The sequence below is a fragment of the Homo sapiens genome, chromosome 12 (assembly GCF_000001405.40).
Source record: "Homo sapiens chromosome 12, GRCh38.p14 Primary Assembly".
NCBI classification, from domain to species: domain Eukaryota; kingdom Metazoa; phylum Chordata; class Mammalia; order Primates; family Hominidae; genus Homo; species Homo sapiens.
Window position 1 is genome coordinate 12,032,963 of NC_000012.12, and position 14,600 is coordinate 12,047,562.

Genomic DNA, 14,600 nt, shown 5'->3' on the forward strand with positions numbered 1-14,600 from the left:
GGTGTTGCCTGGGGGCGGAGCGAGAAGGAAGAAAGGGCGCTGCTGGTTCACACCTCACCCATGCCCTCCTCTCAGGCCCCAATCAGGATGGAATTAAAAGACCCTGGGAGGAAAATAAGGAAAGCAACAAAGGAAATGAGTTCCCCATACAGAAAGGGAAATTGCCTTTCCCGTTAAGGTCAGACTGGTCCGAAGTAAAGGACTGGTGCGCCTTAGCAACCGCCTCTGCTGAAGCCCTAACGCTGGAGCTCTTTCGCCCTCGCAGAATAACCGGGACTTTCTTGCAGCCGGAACCAGCCACGTCCTGATTCCACACTCCCTTGAGGAGCCAGCCAGCTCCACATTTACTCAAAGAATCCGAAGGGCACCAAGTGGATGCTCTGCCACACGATTGAAGAGGGCAAGCTGTCTGGGGGGTTTTCCACCTCTTTTCAACTCAACTATTCTGAGCTGAAGTACTGGACCCGTTTTGTTTTTCCTGTTTTTTCCTGCTTCGGTAAATCTGGAAAAATCCTGCAGGTCTGAAAAACTGTTGGACTTGACAGCGTGTGTGTAGCGCCACCTGGTGACCACAGCTTATCAAAACAGCTTCCTTCTGGGGCTCTTGTGGATGTACATCAAAGGCTCCAGCTTCCAGACAGGTACACATCCTGTTCTCACGCCCGGCCCACTTTCCCGTGGGAATGTCAGCCACTCTGATTTGCCTTGGCTGAAAACCTCCTGTCTTTGCATGGAAAAAAACACAAATAATATGAACAAGCAACAGAGTTTTCTTTCTCTCTTAAGTAACCAAGCATTTAAAATCTTCTAAAGCACACATTTCCCTAATTGAGAAAGGAAGCAGAAGAAAAATTTCTGGCTGAAATTATAAATCATAATAAATGGTCGGAAATACCTTCTCCCTTAGATTCCTGGGGTCCTAGTGTAGAGGAGACTTCAGTTGCCCTTGACACTACAACATCCTGACTAAAAGCCTGTTTCCAAGGTGATATTTGATAGACATGAAGGACCCAGGTGGAAAAGAAGGTAGTCTGGACGGCACGGCAAGGAGTGGAACACGCAGGCTATGAGGTGTCAGCAGAAATCAGTTCTGGTCCTGGCACTGCTACCAACTTGCTGTGTGACCTTGGGAAGTTACTTAAGCTTTGTGGATCTCAATGCCCCAGACTCGTTAACTTCTTTACTATTTTTTCCCATAAATTCAGTGTTTCTGAAAGATGTTGCCCACCAGAATGCATCTCTAAAATAGGAGCTTAATAAGCTTTCTGTCTTGAGGGATCAGACGTATAAATGTCAGGCAGGCCTTCTGATGATCATGATGCAACCAGAGTTACCACAGTGAGTCCATATCACAGACAAAGGCGAAGACACTTGATCCCTTCTTAACCTGGTCTCCCACCCATGAATGATTTTTGTTAGGATTTCAGCATGTTGAAACTAACCCACAGACCCTAGTTACAACTTTCTCAGGGCCTGAGAGCTGGGGAATCCCAGTTTGGGAACCAAAAAACTAGAAAATCTTGAGGGCAACTCTGGCTGTCATGAACTAAAACAGAGCAAAGATGGAAGCCTGTGGTATGTGCGTGCAGGTAGAATCTCGATTTGAGAAATGGCGTTACAAGGAATTAACACTTCAGAAATGCCAGCTCTGTGCCAGGATTTTTTTATTTTATTATGTATATTTGTCATGGACAACATGTTTTGGAATATGTATACATTGTGGAATGGTTAAATAAAGCTAATTACATATGCATGTGCTCACAAAGTTATCATTTTAGGGGTGACTTAAAATCTCTCAGTGATTTTCAAAAATATATGTTATTAATCATAGTTGCAATGTTGTACAATAGATCTCTTGAACATATATTCCTCTTGTCTAACTGAAATTTTATGTTCTTTGACCATCTCCCCAACTGCCCCCCAACAAGCCTGAAAGCCCTGGTAACCCCTATTCTACTCTCTACTTCTTTGAGTTCAACTTTTTAAGAGTCCACATATGAGATCATGCAGTATTTGTCTTTCTGTGCCTGACTTATTTCACTTAGCACAATGTCCTTTGGGTTCATCTATGTCACAAGCAACAGGATGTCCTCCTTTTTAAAAGACTGAATAGTATTCCATGGTGTGTTTTCTTTATCCAACCCCATTTTCTTTATCCATCCATCCGTTGATGAACACTTAAACACTTAGTTGGTTTCAAATCTTGGCTATTGTGAATAGTGCTGCAATGAACATGGCAGTACAGATACCTCTTCAACATACCAATTTTATTTCCTTTGGATATATATACCCAGGAGTGGGATTGCTAGATCATATGGTAGTACTATTTTTAATTTTTTAAGGAACCTCCATACTGTTTTCTGCAATGGCTGTGTTAATTTACATTCCCACCAGCAGTGCACAAGGCTTCCCTGCTCTCCACAACCTCGCTAGCATTTGTTATCTTTCATCTTTTTGATAACAGCATTCCAACAGGTATGAGGTGATATCTCATTGTGGTTTTAACATGTATTTCTCTGATAATTAGTGCAGAAGTTTTAGATACAGAATCACAGTTAGTCCTGACAATAATCTCTAAAATACCCATGCAGATGGGGAAAGAGCTGCAGAGAAGTTAAAGAAATTGTCTGCACCTTACAGCTGAGACCAGAACCAGGTCTGTATAATTTCAGAGCACATAATCTTTCAAAGTAACCTAACAAAATCACAGCAACTTTTAGGTTCACAGAGAACAGGCCAAAAAAACAAACAAACAAAAAGAAAGAAATTATAGTAATTTCCAGGTATGAACCAGTAATCCAAACTAAACATATTTTGTTGAATGAATATCCTGGATTCTACTATGTTTCTCCAAGTCCCCACTGTCTTAAAACATAGCATTTGGGGTTCAGTAGTTACTGATAAACCTTTTGCATATCTATGCACTGTTAGTTCTTTACCCTACACATTATTTTATTGTAGTAAAGCCAATTTTCTGACATTTATCTGAAAGCAAACTGTGAAGTACTTCCATTCTACTTCCTGGTGATTTTTAGTGACCTGGTGCCATTTGAACGTATGTGTCCTCCAAAATTCGTATGTTGAAACTTAAACCCCAAAGCAATGGTATTAGAAGGTGGGGCATTTGGAAGGTGATTAGGTCATGAGGCCGCCACCCTCATGTGAATGGGTTTAGTGCCTTTATAAAAGGGCTGGAAGGAACTAGCTAGGCCCATTGCCCTTCCATCTCTTCTGCCACATGAGGGCGCAGTATTTATCCCTTCTGCTCTTCCACCTTTTCCACCATGTGAGAACACCAGAGAAAATACCAATCTGTGGCCAGGCGTGGTGGCTCACGCCTGTAATCCCAGCACTTTGGGAGGCTGAGGTGGGCGGATCACTAGGTCAGGAGATCGAGACCATCCTGGTCAACATGGTGAAACCCCATCTCTACTAAAAATGCAAAAATTAGCTGGGCATGCTAGTGCGCTCCTGTAGTCCCAGCTACTCAGGAGGCTGAGGCAGGAGAATCGCTTGAACCCGGGAGGCGGAGGTTGCAGTGAGCCAAGATTGCACCACTGCACTCCACTCTGGCAACAGAGCGAGACTCTATCTCAAAAAAAAAGCAAGCAAGAAAATACCATCTGTGGGACAGGCCTTCACTAGACACCAAATCTGCTGACACTGTGATCTGGGACTTCCCAGCCTCCAGAACTGTGAGAAATAAATCTCAACTGCTTATGAATTACCCAGTCTGTGGTGTTTTGCTATAGCAGCAGGAACAGACTAAGACATTCAGGGTAATGTGTCATTTCAAGACATGAAAGCTCAGTTCTGTAATATTTTCTTCTCTTATTCCTTTGATAATTTTCTTCTACCCATCATCTGTTTTCTCTTTCTGAAACTTCTACTAGTTAAATATTAAACAACTCTGGTTTCTTAACCTTTCTTGTGTATATTATGATTCAACTAGGATCAAAAAAATATCTAATTAAACAGTAGCTTAAACAAATTAGGGGTTTTTTTTGTTTTTGTTTTTGTTTTCACACAAGAAGTCAAGAAGTCATTGGACCAGTGTTATTTCAGAGGCTCAGGAATGTCAGGGCAAAAATATCTGGAACTCTCTTGGTCTCTTACCCATGGCTACAAGATAGCTGCTGCAGCTCCATCCATCCCATCCACATTCAAGGCAGAACTAAATGAGCAGCAGAAGGAAGCAGAAAGGTTTGTATTTGTATCAGAAGAATAAAGCCTTTCCAGAAATTTTCTACAGACTTAAACTTATGACTCCTTGACCAGAAATGTATCAAAAGGCAAATTTAATTACAGGAAAGTCTAAGAAAGGAAGTTTTAGTATCCCACCATGAAAGTGCAGGAAGACAAGAGAAAGGAGGGTTGTAATGAAGGAATGAGACAATCCAGTGCCCTATTTTCTTTTTTCTTTTTTTTCTTCTCTGAGACAGAGTCTTGCTCTGTCCCTCAGGCTGGAGTGCAATGGTGCCATCTCAGCTTACTTTAACCTTCGCCTCCCAGGTTCAAGCGATTCTCCTGCCTCAGCTTCCCGAGTAGCTGGGATTACAGGTGCCCACCACCACGCCAAACTAATTTTTTTGTATTTTTAGTAGAGACAGGGTTTCGCCATGTTGGTCAGGCTGGTCTTTAACTCCTGACCTCATGTGATCCACCTGCCTCGGCCTCCCAAAGTGCTGGGATTACAGGTGTAAGCCACCGCACTGGGCCAGTGTCCTATTTTTGTCCTTTTTTTTTTTTTTTTTTTTTTTTTACTTCATGCAAGAATTCCTCAATTTTATCTTCTAAACTTTCTGTTGATTTTTTTTTGTTTCTGCCCTAATTATTTTAATTTCTAAGAGTGTTTTCTTCTGATATTTTTTGTTGTGTTGTTTTAATAGCTTCCTATCTTGTTTCATAGCTGTAATACCTTCTCATCTCTCTAAAGATATTTATAACTTCTCTTTAAGTCCATTTTGTTTTTTGCCTTTTCCTCATAATATTTTCTTTTTCTTCAAAATTGATAGCTCTCCCCACACATAGACATTTTAGCCTCTGTCTTCTATTTGGGTAGCGTCCCTCAAAAGTCTGATGATCTGGGCTGTTGATTCATACATAAATATGAGACACCAAGAAGTTGTTTGGAGGAGCTGTGTGATTAAATTAGAATTGTCCCCTGGCAGCGTGCAGAGTGATCAGGTGTTGAGCCAGCTCTTTCATGGGGCAGACCCCCACAACCAGTGTCATTATGTGTGAGTATTTTCTCTGGATTTACTGAGTTTTTCCATTGATTTTCCACTCTGGTCTTCAATATAATGGAGTTGGAGACCAGGGTCCAAGCAGTAATTCCACTGCCATAGTGGGAGCAGGGAGGATGGTGGGAGTACTCTGAGCCGAAGACTCTGGTCAATTTCTCCAGAGAAGGAACTTCGTGTTCTACAGAGGTTAGAGAAAGGTCATACTCTGATGGTGTGGATTAGAGGTCTAAAAGATCCTTTGAGAAACCATCAAATAATCTCTCTGTCTTCATCTCCATGATCTTGTCCTCCTTTGCCCCTTCCACTGTACTGGTGTCCCCAATTTCAAAAGGTTTCAGGTGTTCTGTTGAACAAATCTTTTGTTTCTCATTACTCTTCCCTTCCTGAGATACGTGGGTTTCAGCCTCCGCTGCTAAGTGAGTTACCATTCCTCAAACCACTTTTCAGCTTCTCTACTCTTCTCTCCCTCCAATTCTCTCTGTCCTTATGAGTTTATGCCTTTTTAGTCCTTCATTGTAATTTTGGACAGGGAGGAGAGGGTGGAAATGAAGCTCAGATATATGTAAGTATTGAATCTGCCATGCTAAACGGGAAGTCTACACATATTTTTTTAATATTTCCAATTTCACAACACAATTCCTCCAAAAAAAACTTATGGAGCTTTTTATTATGAATGTGTCACTGACATTCAGTCATAATCTATCTTAGCAACGATATAGGCACATACCAGACTGAAAAGATTTGACAAACGGTATTCTGAGAAACCCACATTTGGTCAATAATCAAGGAAATAATTTGTTAAAAAGGAATAAGATGAAACAAATCCACATTGCGTTTGAGCTCTATAAGTCAAAGATACAGTTTTAAAAAGTAAACTCAAGTAATCCAATATTACAAGATCTAGAGGGTCAGGACAAAGTGAGTTAGGCTTGCACATCAAAGAAATAGCTAGGCAACTACCAAAAATGTTTCCAGGTGAAATCAAGTTGCAAAATTGTATAAACAATCTTGAGATAATTAAACAAAAGAAAATATATTTTCAGATGTTAAGGGCTGCAGAGGGAAAAAGAGCGACTCTATATAGAGAAAATTAATATACTGGAGCTTATCTCCTAAGAATGGCTTCTGAAGCATAAGGTGTTTTTTTTTGGTTTTTTTTTTTTTTGAGAGTCTCACTCTTTCACCCAGGCTGGAGTGCAGTGGCATGATCTTGGCTAACTGCAACCTCTGCCTCTTAGGTTCAAGTGATTCTCGTGCCTTAGCCTCCTGAGTAGCTGGAATTACAGGCACGTGCCACCCCACCCAGCTAATTTTTGTATTTTTAGTGGAGATGGGATTTCACCATGTTGGCCAGGCTGGTCTCAAACTCCTCACCTCAAGTGATCCACCCACCTCAGCCTCCCAAAGTGCTGGGATTACAGGCATGAGTCACCATGCCCAGCCTGAAGCATACATTCAATCTAACAAGTCTTCTAGGTATTTGTTCTACAGACACAGTTACCCAAGTGCTGAATTGCATACATTCAAGGATATTTATTTTGGAGTATTTTAAATCATAACACAAAATGGGAATATTCTATAAATATTTCAATAAGGTCTGCCAGACCCATATATCCAGTAGCCATGGGAATGATATCTAAGCTGTGAGTGAAAACCAAAGGATTAAAAACATGGGCATCCAAGAGAAGGTCAGGGTTCAACGCCAGCACGGTCTTTGACACAGCGGCTAGCAAAGATTCATTGGTCTGTGCACCATTTCCAGCAGCTATACTCCAGAGTTGCTGGTGCTCACCATCTCTTCACTTCTCTGCCTGGTATTTAGAAATAAGGCTGATCTCCTTACAGTGAATAATTCTCTGGTGCAGGCCACGAGAGGAGCCTGGACTTCGTCCTCCTTGTGGCAGTAAAGAGGAGCCTCTCCCCTCTCTTCTGGAATGGTATCAGAGGAGCTTAGTAGAGACTCGAGATTTTCATTATTATCCAAAGGTCACAAGGCCACCCCCACCATGATGTCATTGGAGACTACCTGGAGAGGCTCAAGGACCCGTGAATCTATAACAAAAGATCTAACATTTATGTCCTCAGACTTCCAAAAGGAGAGAAGCAAAAAGACATAACCGAAAAAGTATTCTCACAGAAATATAGTTGAAAACTTCCCAAATTTGCCAAGAGATGTAAATGTACAGTTTCAACAGGCTGAGCAAACCTCCAAACATAATAAACCCAAAGAAATCCACACCAAGAGACATCATAATCAAATTTCTGAAAACTAAATACAAAGAAAAAAATCTTGAAATCAGCCAGAGGAAAACATGGCAGAAACAATTAAAATCGAAATAGATTTCTCATCATAAACCATGTATTCCAAAAGAAAAGTGACACAAATATTTTTCAAATGCTGAAAGAAAAGAACTGTCAATCCAGAGTCCTATACCCAGTAAAAATATCCTGTGAGAATTAAGGGGAAATCACAATATTCTCAGATGAAGAAAAACTAAGATAATTTGTCATCAGGAGAACCGCCCTAGAAGAATAGCTAAAGGAAGTTGTCTAAACAGAAAAGAAATGATACAAGGAGGATGGAACACCATGAAGCAAGGAAGAGAGTACATGGTAAGCAAAAATATTGGCAAACACAATAGGCTTTATTTCTCCTCAAGAGTTTTCCAAATTGTATTTGATGGTTGAAGCAAAACTTATAACACTATCTGATGTGGTTCTCAATGTATGTAGAAGAAATATTTAAGACAATTATACTATAAACAGGGGAAGATAAAAGGGTGTTATGGGGGGAAAGAGTTCTATACTTCACTCAAAGGATAAAAAAGAACATCAGTTGACTGAAATAGGTTATGGATACACAATGGAATACTTAGAGCAATCACTAAAAGTGCTATACAAAGAAATACAAATGCTAAAAAAGAAATACATTCAAAACACTATAGATAGGCTGGGTGATGTCTCACACTTATAATCCCAGCACTTTGGGAGGCTGAGGTATGCGGATCTTTTGAGGTCAGGAGTTTGAGACCAGCCTGGCCAACACTGTGAAACCCTGTCTCTACTAAAAATACAAAAATTAGCCAGGCATGGTGGCAGACACCTGTAATCCCAGCTACTCGGGAGGCTGAGGCACGAGAATCATTTGAACCCAGGAGGCAGAGGTTGCGATGAGCAGAGATGGCACCACTGCACTCCAGCCTGAGTGACAGAGCAAGACTCCATCTCAAAATAAAACAAAACACCACAGATAAATCAAAATGGAAAAATGTTCAATTAACCCAGAAGACAGAGAAAGTGAACAGAGAAACAGAAAGCAGAACAAACAAAACAAGAAATAAAATGTCAGGCTTAAGTTATAGCATATCAATAAGTACATTAAATGCAAGTAGCCAAAATAATCAATTAAAAGACAGATTGACAGATTGGATTTACAAATATGACCCACCTGAGTGAGGCCTGGTGGCTTGCACCTGTAATACCAGCTACTTGGTAGGCTGAGGTGGGAGGATTGCTCGAGGCTAGGAGCTCAAGACCAGCCTAGGCAACATAGCAAGACCCTCATCTCTAAAGAAAAAAAAAAAATAGCTGGAAATGGCAGCTTGCACCTGTAGTCCTAGCTACTCGAGAGTCTGAGGTGGGAGGATCACTTGAGCCCAGGAGTTCGAGGCTGAGGCCACAGTAAGCCATGATCACACCACTACACTCCAGCCTGAGTGATAGAGCAAGACCCTTCTCTAAAATATATATATTCAGATTGAAAAAAAAAGGATAGAAAAAGACATAGCATGCAAGCATTCATAAAAGGAAAGCAGAGATCGAGCACTATGGCTCACACGTGTAATCCCAGCACTTTGGGAGGCTGAGGAGGGTGGATCACTTGAGGTCAGGAGTTCGATACCAGCCTGGCCAACACGGTGAAACCCCCGTCTCTACTAAAAATACAAAAATCAGCTGGGCTTGGTTGTGGGCACCTGTAATCCCAGCTACTCAGGAGACTGAGGCAAGACAATTGCTTGAATCCTGGAGGCAGAGGTTGCAGTGAGCAGAGATCGCACCATTGTACTCCAGCCTGGACAACAGAGTGAGACTCTGTCTCAAAAAAATGGAAAACAGAAATGGTTATATTAGTATCAAGCTAAAGTAGACTTCAGAGCAAAGAAAATTGCTAGAGACAGGGAGGGAGACTACATAATGATCAAAGGGTCAATCCACCAGGAAGTATTAACAATACTAACTGTCTGTATGCCAAACAACAGATCTGCAAACTATATGATGCAAAAACTGATAGAACTGATAGTAGAAATAGACAAATCCACAATTATAGTTGGAGACTCCAACACTCCTCTCTAAACAATTGATAGAACGAGTAGACCAAAAATCAGCAAGGCTGTAGAAAAACTCAACAACACCATCAACCAACAGGACCTAATTGACATTTGTAGAACAGCTGACACAATAGCAGAATATACATTCTAATACACATCAGAATACACACTAAACATACACCAAGATAGACCATATACATTCTAATATACATCAGAATGCACACTCAACACACACCAAGATAGACCATGTACGTTCTAATACACATCAGAATGCACACGTGGCCTCCCAAAGTGCTGGGATTACAAGCATGAGCCAAAGTGCCCAGCCCAATATGAAATAGATAATTTGAATAGCCCTATAACTATTAAGAAAATTTAATTCATAATTTTGAAATTCCCTCCCAGAAAAATATCCAGACCTAAATGCTTTCACTAGATAACTCTACCAAATGTTTAAAGAATTAACACCAATTCTACGTAATCTCTTCCAGAATATAGGTAAGGAGGGAATTCTTAGTTCATTTATGCTGCTATAACAAAATACCTGAGACTGCATCATTTATAAGCAATATAAATTTTTTCTCACAGTTCTGGAAGCTGGGAAGTCCAAGACCAGAGCACCAGCAGTTCTGGAGTCTGGTGAGGGCTGCTATCTCTGCTTCAACATGGCACCTTGTTGCATCCTCCTGGGAGAATAAATGCTGTATCCTTACATGGCAGAAGGATAGAAGGACAAAAAGGGCCTAGCTAGTTTCCTCCAGACCTTTCATATGGCACTAATCCATTCATGAGGGCTCTCCCTCATGACTTAATAACTTCTTAAAAGGCCTCATCTGTTAACACTACCATAATGGGGATTAAGTTTCAACATGAACTTTAGAAAGAACACAAACACTCAACCCATGGTATCTTCATAATTGGTTTTATTTCTACCAAGACCAGATGAAGGCAGAAAACTACCAAAAAAAAAAAAAAAAACAAAACAAAAAAGTCAGAAAACCACAGATCAATACTATCTTGAAAACAGACATGAAAATCCTGAAAAAAAAAATTAGTAAATAAAATTCAGCAGTATGTAAAAAGAATTATACATCTCGACCAAGTGGGGCTTATTATAGGGAGGCAGAGCTAGTCCAATATTGGAAAATCAATAAATGTAATCAACCATATTAACAAGCTACAGAAGAAAAATCACATGATCATATCAATTGATGTGGAAAAAGTATTTGACAAAATTCAACACTCATTCATGATTTAAAAAAAACTCTCAGAAAATTATCAATAGAAAAGAAATGCATCCACTTAGTAAAAAGCACCTATAAAAAACCTACAGCAACATTATACCTGATGGTGAAAGTCTGAATATTTTTCCCTTAAAATCAAGAATAAGACAAGCGTATTCACACTTACATTCTTATTCAACATAGTACTGAAAGTTTTAGCCAGTGCAGTAAGACAAAAGGATGGGGTGAGGGAGAATAAAAAGGAAGACATTATTATCTATATATAGAAAATTCCAAGGAGTATACAAGAAAAACAAACTCTTAGTACTGAGTTCAGTAAACTTGCAGGATATAAGATAAACATACAAAAATCAATTGTATTTCTATATACTAGCAATGGACATGCAGACATCAAAATTTAAAATATAATATCATTTGCAATCACTCAAAAAGAATGGAATACTTAGGTGTCAGTCTAATAAAACATATCCAGGGATTTTATGCTGAAGACTATGCTATGCCGATGAAAGAAATAAAAATATCTAAATAAAGGGAGAGACATACTGTGTTTATGACTAGAAGATTCAACATAATAAAGGTGTAAATTCTCCCAAATTGATATGAAGTCTTAATATAATTCCTATCAAAATCCCAGAAAGTTTTAAAAATAGATATAAACAAGCTTATCCTAAAATTTAAATGAAAAGGCAAAGGAACTGGACTTCAAAACAATTTTGAAAAAGAAGAAAAAAAGTGGGAGGTGACTCAGTCTATCTGATTTCAAGACATATTATATAGGTCAGTAATCGAGACTATGTGATATTGGTGGAGAGATAGACACATAGGTCAATGGAACAGAATAAAGAATCCAGAAGCAGATCCACATAAATATGCCCAACTGATTTTTGACAAGGTGCAAAAGCAACTCAACAAAGGAGAAACAGGCTTTCAACATAAGATGCTGGAGTGATTGCACATCTATTACCAGAAATAATGAACCTCAACCTAAGCCTCACACCTCAAGCAAAAATTAACTCAAAATGGATCATGAACTTAAATGTAAAGCCATAAAACACTTAGGAAAAAAACATAGGATAAAATAGTCAAGATCTAGAATGACGTAAAGTGTTGTGTTTTTTTCACATATGGAGAATGCCCTGTGATAGGGTTCTTAGACTTGACACCAAAAGCACAGTTCATAAAAGGAAAGATGTATAAACTGGACTTCATCAAGATTTTAAATTTTTGTTCTGTAAAAAATCTTGTTAAGAGAATGAAAAGACAAGCTACAGAGTGGGAAGAAAATATTTGCAAACCATATATCTGACATAGGACTAGTATCTGGAATATATAAAGAACTCTCAAAAATTAAACAATAAGAAAGCAAACAATCCAATTAGGAAATGGACAAAACATGTGAAGAGACATTTTAACACAGAAAATATACAGACGACAAATAAGCACGTGAAAATATGTTCAACAGCATAAGCCATTCGTGAAATTCAAGTTGAAACCACTATGCAGTATTACTACATATCTATCAGGATGGCTAAGATGAAAAATAGTGACACCACCAAATTCTGACAAGGATGCAGAGAAACTAGATCACTCATATGATGCTGGTGAGAATGTGAAATGGTGGTGTTTGGAAGTTTCTTAGAAAAGTAAACATGCAACTGCCATATGACCCAGCAATTGAGCTCCTGGGTATTTATCTCAGAGAAATGAAGACTTGTAGTCACACAAAAGTTTGTGCACAAATGTTTATAGCAGCTATATTCATAAGAGCTCAAAACTAGAAGCAATCTAGATGTCCTTCAATAGGTGACTGCTTAGACAAAATATGGTACATTCTATGCGATGTTATTCAACAGTAAAAAGGAACAAACTTTTGATAAACACAACAACCTAGATGAATCTCCAGAGGATTAGGCTGAGTGGGGAAAAAAGCCAATCTTGGCCGGGCGCGGTGGCTCACACCTGTAATCCCAGCACTTTGGGAGGCCGAGGCAGGCAGATCACGAGGTCAGGAGATCGAGACCATCCTGGCTAACACAGTGAAACCCCGTCTCTACTAAAAATACAAAAAAATTAGCTGGGCGTGGTGGCGGGTGCCTGTAGTCCCAGCTACTCGGGTGGCTGAGGCAGGAGAATGGCGTGAACCCGGGAGGCGGAGCTTGCAGTGAGCCGAGATCGCGCCACTGCACTCCAGCCTGGGCAACAGAGCGAGACTCCGTCTCAAAAAAAAACAAAAAACAAAAAACAAAAAAAAAAGCCAATCTCAAAAGGTTGCCTATGTATGATTTCATTTCCATAACGTTTTTGAAATGACAAAATTCTAGAAATGAAGAGTTGATTAGTGGTTGTCAGGAGTTATGGAGGGGGTGGGAGCAGGAAGTCACGGGTTGTGGCTATAAAATGGCAAGATGAGGGAACTTTATGGTAACGAAAATGTTCTGTATCTTGACAGTATCAATGTCTATATCCTGATTATAACATTGTGCTATTATATGCTGTTACCATTGGAAAAAAAATGGGTAAACGGTACACAGGATCTTGATTATTTCTTACAACTACATATGAATCTACAATTATCTCAAAATTAAAAGTTAATTTTTAAAAACAAATTCAGGGCATACACATACAAAACTAAATTTATCTTTTATAAGTTGGCAGGGTTCTGCTGATATAGACCAGGTGGCTCTGCTGAACTTAGCTGGCCTCACTCGTGTGTGCTGCTGATCTAGGCTGGGTTCCTCCAGGTCAACTGGAGAATTTGATTCTGTTTCATGTATCTGTCATCCTCAGCAGGCTGGCCTGGGCATGTTCTTATGGCCATAGCTGAGGTGCATGAGAAAACAAGCTCTAGCTTGGGCGCAGTGGCTCACGCCTGTAATCTCAACACTTTGGGAGGCCAAAGCAGGTGGATCACTTGACGTCAGGAGTTCGAGACCAGTCTGGTCAACTTGGTGAAAACCCATCTTTACTAAAAATACAAAAACTTAGCCAGGCGTGGTGGTGCACGGCTGTAATCCCAGCTATTCGTGAGGCTGAGGCACGAGAATCGCTTGAGCCCAGGAGGCAAATGTTGCAGTGAGCCAAGATGGCACCACTGGCTGGGTGCAGTGGCTCACGCCTGTGATCCCAGCACTTTGGGAGACTGAGGCTGGTGGATCACCTGAAGTCAGGAGTTTGAGACCAGCCTGACCAATATGGTGAAACCCTATCTCTACTAAAAATACAAAAATTAGCCAGACATGGTGACGTGCGCCTGTAGTCCCAGCTACTTAGAAGGCTGAGACAGGAGAATTGCTTGAACCCGGGAGGCAGAGGTTGCAGTGAGCCAAGATCGTGCCACTGCACTCTAGCCTGGGCAACAAAGCAAAACTCCATCTCAAAAAACAAACAAACAAAAAAAAATCACACCACTGCACTCCTGCACTCCACTCTGGGTAACAGAGTGAGACAAGACGAGACAAGACAGGACAGGACAGGACAGGACACGACAGGACAGGACAGGACAGGACAGGGAAAGGAAAGGAAAGAAAAGGGGAAAGGGAAGAAGAAAACAAGTTCTCGTGGACAAACCTCTCTACAGCCCAAATTTGAGTCACGGCTTTTACACACTAATGACAAAAGCAAGTCACATGATTGAGCCCAGAACCAGGGGACAGGGCAGGTCATTCATGCATGGTGGGAGGGCACTGTGAAGTTACGTGGCAACAGGCATGAATATGGGGCAGAGGAGGTGAAAAGCTGGGGTCAAGGACTCTACCACCATCCTTGAACACCTCCAGGACTAA

At 40.4% G+C, this 14,600-nt stretch overlaps 3 annotated features.

The window, feature by feature from the left end:
- Nucleotides 393-687: a silencer, noted in NCBI's record as "tiled region #1566; K562 Repressive DNase unmatched - State 12:CtcfO". NCBI's record gives its function as "represses a minimal TATA promoter and a strong SV40 promoter by Sharpr-MPRA in K562 cells {active_cell/tissue: K562}" and the evidence as "EXISTENCE:reporter gene assay evidence [ECO:0000049][PMID:27701403]".
- Nucleotides 13,935-14,434: an enhancer, noted in NCBI's record as "H3K27ac hESC enhancer chr12:12199831-12200330 (GRCh37/hg19 assembly coordinates)". NCBI's record gives its function as "activates a minimal SCP1, AML or CMV promoter by ChIP-STARR-seq in naive and primed H9 embryonic stem cells {active_cell/tissue: H9 hESC(naive and primed)}" and the evidence as "EXISTENCE:reporter gene assay evidence [ECO:0000049][PMID:30033119]".
- Nucleotides 14,420-14,519: an enhancer, noted in NCBI's record as "active region_6008". NCBI's record gives its function as "activates an Ori minimal core promoter by ATAC-STARR-seq in GM12878 lymphoblastoid cells {active_cell/tissue: GM12878}" and the evidence as "EXISTENCE:reporter gene assay evidence [ECO:0000049][PMID:35858748]".